The sequence below is a fragment of the Homo sapiens genome, chromosome 19 (genome assembly GCF_000001405.40).
Source record: "Homo sapiens chromosome 19, GRCh38.p14 Primary Assembly".
Classification (NCBI taxonomy): domain Eukaryota; kingdom Metazoa; phylum Chordata; class Mammalia; order Primates; family Hominidae; genus Homo; species Homo sapiens.
Genome location: NC_000019.10, coordinates 32,019,784 through 32,025,842, shown reverse-complemented (window position 1 = coordinate 32,025,842; position 6,059 = coordinate 32,019,784). Strand labels below are relative to the sequence as shown.

At 46.3% G+C, this 6,059-nt stretch overlaps 1 long non-coding RNA gene across 19 annotated transcripts in view; it reads left to right on the top strand.

Annotated features, from left to right (window-relative positions):
- LINC01837 (long intergenic non-protein coding RNA 1837) overlaps nt 1-6,059 on the top strand; it is a 234,720-nt gene that overhangs the window by 46,257 nt on the left and 182,404 nt on the right. For 14 of the 19 annotated variants that reach the window (XR_001753924.2, XR_001753921.2, XR_001753916.2 and 11 more), the window contains exon 1: nt 36-128. The exons of the other annotated variants lie outside the window; for them this stretch is intronic. This is a non-coding gene — a long non-coding RNA (long intergenic non-protein coding RNA 1837). Of the gene's footprint in view, nt 1-35; nt 129-6,059 lie in introns of those variants that run through there. 19 annotated transcript variants of the gene reach the window in all.

Here is a 6,059-nt window from a genome sequence, read left to right as displayed (position 1 = left end):
TCATCATCATCATAATGTCATAGAACCAGGGTTCTAGAAGGCTCTGTGGCAGGGAGTGGGAGGGTGATTAACAGGGGAAGAATTAGGAAAGAGGACACGCAAGACCACAGTAAGAGATGGAAATAAGAGTAAGTTTAGGGGCCGGGTGTGGGGAGGAAGCATTGCAGGCCCCCCAACTGCATGTGTTACGGAGATGGGAGCTTGTTTGGCTCCAGGTTTCTGATCTAGGCCCAGCTGAAGGTCTGCGGTAGAGCCTGGTCAGCTGTGAGGGAGACAGCGAGTGCCCCTGCAGGTGGGGCCTACCCTGGGCGTGTCTGGAGCATGGATGGACCCGCATGCCTGAATGCACTGCAAAGCCGGGCCATGCGGTGAGGCAGGGACGGGCCGCAGGGGAGTTTACCATGTGTAAACCCAAGGGTTTCTTTCTTCTTTGCCCTGTGCCTCAGTTTCCCCACATGTGGCATAAATAATTGGAGAAGGTGATGTTTTAGTTCCTTTCTGTACTGCCATTCTCTGATTCCAAGTCTCCCTTTCCTGATGTTTTTCTGAAATGCCACCCCACCCTCTCACCCTGAGTGGTGAGAAGCTCAAGTGGACAAGTCACACGGTTCTATGGGCATCAGGTGCTTCCCCTAACAAAAGGATGGTGCTTCTTGGATGGCCGTGAGCAAACCATTTGCACAGATCAGGGCTGCTGGAATACAGAGTGGAAACATGTTTGGGGGAAATAAGCCCAGTCCTCAAAGAGAGATGGCTCCAAGGCGAATTGTACCCAAAGGATGGTGGGGAATGTTCCATAGGTTTTCTGGGACCTCCTTGAGCAGTGTCTGTGGTTGGTTTTACCTGACAGAACCAAGGGGCGAGTAAAAATGAAAGTGGTCCAGGGAGGAAAGGAGAGGCAGGGCAGGGCATGGCCTCACTGTTCCAGCTTTCTTTATCAGTGCTGAATACCTTGACCTCTGCTTCAGATGGCAAGCTCGGTCTTGCAAACTGGTTAGCAAGTGGGGTTTGTTGTCCTCTCCAGTAGGTTTGGGGGCAGGGGGAAGCATGTCTTGTATCATCAACCCATTTGTGGAGTCCCAGGAGGTCTTGGCAACTGGACTTAAGGTCACTGAGAGGAAGCGGAGCCCTTCTAGCTGCTCCCCAACATGCACACCTGAGCCTGGGCATGCACAGCCAGGAGGCTGAGGACGTGAACTTGAAGAAGCAAGGAGGTCCGTCAGGAACAGCAGAACAAGGAGCAGGGAAGTGAAATGCAAATTGAAAATACCAGTTGCCTCAATGAGATATCATCCAACACCAGTCAGAACGGCTATCACTAAAAAGTCAAAAACTAACAGATGTTGGCATGGATGTGAACAAAAGGGAATGCTTATATATTGTTGTTGGGAATGTAAATTAGTTCCACCTCTACGGAAAACAGTATGGAGATTTCTCAAAGAAATAACAGAACTACCATTTAACCTGCAATCTCACTACTGGATATCTACCCAAAGGAAAGAAATCATTATATTATTCATCAAGTATATATTAATCATTATAATGTATACTTGCATTCATTACAGCACTACATATATTATTATATAATATATTCATTACAGCACTATTCACAATAACAAAGTTGTGGAAGCAGCCTTAGTGCCCATCAACAGTTGACTGGATAAAGAAAATGTGGTACATACACACCATGGAATATTACACAGCCATATAAAAGAATGAAGTTATGCCTTTTGCAGCAACATGGATGCTGCTGGAGGCCATTATCCTATGTGAATTAATGCAGGAACAGAGAACTAAACACCGTGTGTTCTCACTTATAAGTGGGAGCTAATCAGTGGGAACACACGGACATAAAATGGAGATAATAGACACTGGGGATTTCAAAAGGGAGTAGAGTGCGAGTGAGGCAGTTGTTGAAAAATTTCCCATCAGGGATAATGTTCACTGTTCGGGTAATGGATACACTAGAAGCCCAATTCTCACCAGTATGCAATATACTCGTGTAATAAACAGGCACAGGCATCCCCTGAATCTAAAATTTAAAAATAAATCACACACACACACACACACACACACACACACACAAGAAAATACCAATTGCCAAAGCCAAATCCTTCCAGAGCAGCATCGCCTGTCCCTCTGGGTCCCACCTCTGCCCAGCACAAAGGCCCCACGCACCAGGGTGCATATAGGGTCAGCACATCCTGCTGCTTCCAGAAACCAAAGCCGTTGGATGAGGATGCGGAGCCCCTGCCTCTTCCTTGAGCCACGCGACTTCCTGTTTTTGTTTCCCATCCTATGCTTTGCTGCAGGAGCAGGGCCTGCTGACAAGGAACGGGGTCCCGTAGAGGAATGCAATTGCGCCCTTGTTTGCCTGGCGCCCTGTTTGTTCCCCGCGCAGAACAATGACCTCTTGTAAGCCAGTGCTTTCCAACCTCACTGAGGGTTACTGAGCAGCCCCGATTCCTCCCCTGATTATCTTGACGCCTGTCAGACCGTGAGGTTCTCCCTCCCCCCTCTGCTCTTTCTTCCTAATAGACATGAAACAGTCCAGTCAATAATATTTTACTTGTCTTCCCACTGCGTGTCTCTTCTTCTGATCAGTTTAGGCGGGTTTGACTGCAGAAAGTCAGAAGGGAGGTTAAAATCTGAAAAGTTCAGCCAAATGTTATCAGCCTCAGAGATGTTGCTAAGGGAAAGGCCCCCGAGCCCTTGGTGACCGGAGCCAATAATAGCTGCGATTCACTGATAGCATCAACGCCTGTCAAAGATCCAGGCGTTTGTGGTTCGTCTGTAAACGCAAACACCTGTATCCAGTCAAGCTATGATGGTTATCCTCTCTTTCCCTGTCATTCCGATCGGTTCCTTGAAGGGGCTGCCAGGATGTTCTAAGCTGTGAGTTGATTTATAAAGTGAAGGGTCTCTCCAAAACTTTGGCATGGATGGGGAAATTGACGAAGGGGGCGCCTCTTTTTTAGCGGGTGATGTGGCGTTTTGACAATGATGAAGTTGACAGTCTTCTTTTAATTGCATTTTTGAACCCATGGCACCCGTTGCCCGAGCCGTGGGAAACAGAGGCTTAGGCATACTTTAACTACGTTAACACGTCCCCTTGAAAGGACACTTAGTGCTTGTTTGAGATTTTTGCATGTGATGAATTAGATCAAAGTGACTAATAAATAGTGTTCGGGTAAGCTCTTCAGAACACAGTATATGCATAGTTGTGATATTTTCAAGATTCAACAGGCAAGGTCCAAACTGTTAAATAAACTTTAGTAAGTGCAAGGAGAAGACAAAGCCTGTGCCAACCCTCCCAGTTGGGGCGAGATTGTGCGGGGCATCAGGTCTTTCTCAGTGAAAGACTTATTGACTCGGATGCTTGGGTGGTCAGCCACGGTGGCCTGGAAAACAGAGAGGAAACGTGGTCACATGGCATCCTTCCCAGGCCACATCCTCAGCCCCTCCACGTGGGTGCTTTTGTGGTTCCCTGGGAGCTCTGCCCCTCCTCTGCTGGGAATGTCCACGTGCACTTGCCTTCAATAAGCTCTGGCTTCCAATCCCAGCAGCATGAAGTTACAACTGCCCCAGCCACTCAATCCACGCCGTCCCCTTGTCCACATGACTCTGGATTTGGTACCATCTTGTCCATCTTATTTGTTTGTCCTCTCTCATCAGCAGCCTACAGCTCAGAGTAGAGGTTGGGGAAGAAGGGAAAAGAAAAAAGACTGGGGAACTGGGTCAGGGCAGGGCACTCAAGGGTATCAGCTAGCAGCACAGTCTCTGGAGTCAGAGCTGGGACAGCTGGACTCAACCACATGCTTGGACCACACTCTTCTCCAGCCTCAGTGTACCCACGTGTAAAAAGAGGGCGATGACAGTATTGGTTCACTTGCTGTGAGGATGATAGGAGACAATGTAGTGGGTCAAACAGTATAAAAATGGGACCCATGAAAATGGCAGTTTCACAGAGCACAACGTAACATGAGAAGCACTCAGCAAAATGCCAGGTGCTTAGCAAAACCTCTCAGTATCAGCGATTTCTCTTCTTCTTCCTCATACTCGTTATTTTTATTTTCCATCTTCCCAACACTTCTGGATGAGAAAAGTGTAATTTGGACCTGGGATTAGTGGAAAAAAAAAACCCTTGGGTATTCAACTAATATTAATGTAAAGCATAGAGTAACAAAAAAATTACAGTGATTTAATCAAGAGCAATTCAGTGCAATTCATATGTAGGCATCACAGGCTCCCTTTGAAAGCCTAGAAGAAGGCAAGGGAGATGTGGGCGTACCCTGTGGCCAGTCTCCACGAGTGATGCCCACTGGATCTGGCTGGAGATGTTCATTATACGCTGAGTATTTAAAAGCTCACAAGCCAGATGATTCTCAGTGCTGTCAGGGTAACAAAAGCCTAATTTGGTTTTTTTTTTTTTCTTTTTGCCTGTAAAGAGAATGTCGAGATGCATTGGTTCCATCCTTTTTAATTGTTCCTATATATTTTACTTCAAAATAAAAGGACCACAGTGAGATGATGCTCTGGCCACATGTGCCAGGGAGGAGGTGGCACCCCATGTTGGCTCCTCAGGTGAAATGTTGCTTTTGATGGGGCCTGCGGGTAACTGGTGAAGACTGTATAAATGACTGGATTGGAACAATTTGCAAGACCTCCGTGGAGAAGGGTCTGCTTACCCTGCCCCTTGTTTTCCATTCCCCTCACTTAACCCCTTATTGTTTTATGCTTTGAATTGTGCAATAGCCTCTGAAAACCTTCAGTCTTCTTCCTGCAGTATGAAGTGGAAATCGTTCTCAGCAATGATGGACGTGGTCTCACTTCTGCTCAGAAACCCATAGGGCCAGTTTCCCACAGCCTGGTGAATGTACTTGTATATCTGCTACTGCAAAACCGTGAAACTGTGTGATATGGTTTAGTTCTTTGTCCCCACCCAAATCTCATCTCAAATTATAATCCCCACATGTGGAGGGAGGGACCTGGTGGGAGGTGATTGGATCATGGGGGTGGTTTCTCCCATGCTATTCTCATGATACTGAGTGAGTTCTCATGAGAGCTGGTGGTTTTAAAGTGTGGCACTTCCTCATTCTCATTCTTTCTCTCTTCCTGCTGCCTTGTAAGACGTGCAAGCTTCCCTTTCGCCTTCCACCATCATTGTAAGTTTCCTGAGGTCTCTCCAGCCATGCAGAACTTTCAGTCAACTCTTTTGTTTATGTCACCCAGTCTCAGGTAGTATCTTTATAGCAGTGTGAGAAAGGACTAATATACTGTGTTTAATTGATCATGGTTTGGTAGGCTCAAACTAAGATTTACATGTTTACTTAAAGAAGGCAAATAACTCTATGGCTTGCAAGGGACTGGTTTAAGCACTGAAAGCCCCCTGTCCTGGGAAAGTCCTCAGTCCCAGGAAAACCAGGATGGCTGGTCACTCTAGGTTAAGGAGAAAAGCATCTGGCCAGGCATGGTGGCTTATGCATGTAATCCCAGCACTTTGGGAGGCCGAGGTGGGCAGATCACCTGAGATCAGGAGTTCGAGACCAGCCTGGCCAACATGATAAAACCCCATCTCCACTAAAAATACAAAAATTAGCTGGGCATGGCGGTGCACACCTGTAATTTCAGGTACTTGGGAGGCTGAGGCAAAAGGATCACTTGAACCCAGGAGGTGGAGGTTACAGTGAGCTGAGATCATGCCATGCACTCCAGGTTGGGTGATAGAGTGAGACCCTGTCTCAAAAAAAAAAAAAAAAAAAAAAAGAAAAGCAGAAAAACAAAGCACCTTACACCTGTAAGTTTGAAGGGGGAGAAAAAACAGCAAATAAGAAAATGAGATTTAAAATGGACAGGTGCAGAGAGTTCAACAGAATCAGGTACAACTGGTTATTTTTGGACACTCTTTACAGAATATGTCAAAATTCCAACAGCAAGTGAATTGCTGTAGTGTGAACTAGAATGAAATTTCATTTTGATTGTGAAATAAGTAATAAGAGAAATTGTGTCCTGTTCCCTCCCTACCAACCCCTCTAACTAGATTATTTTTTTAAGAGACA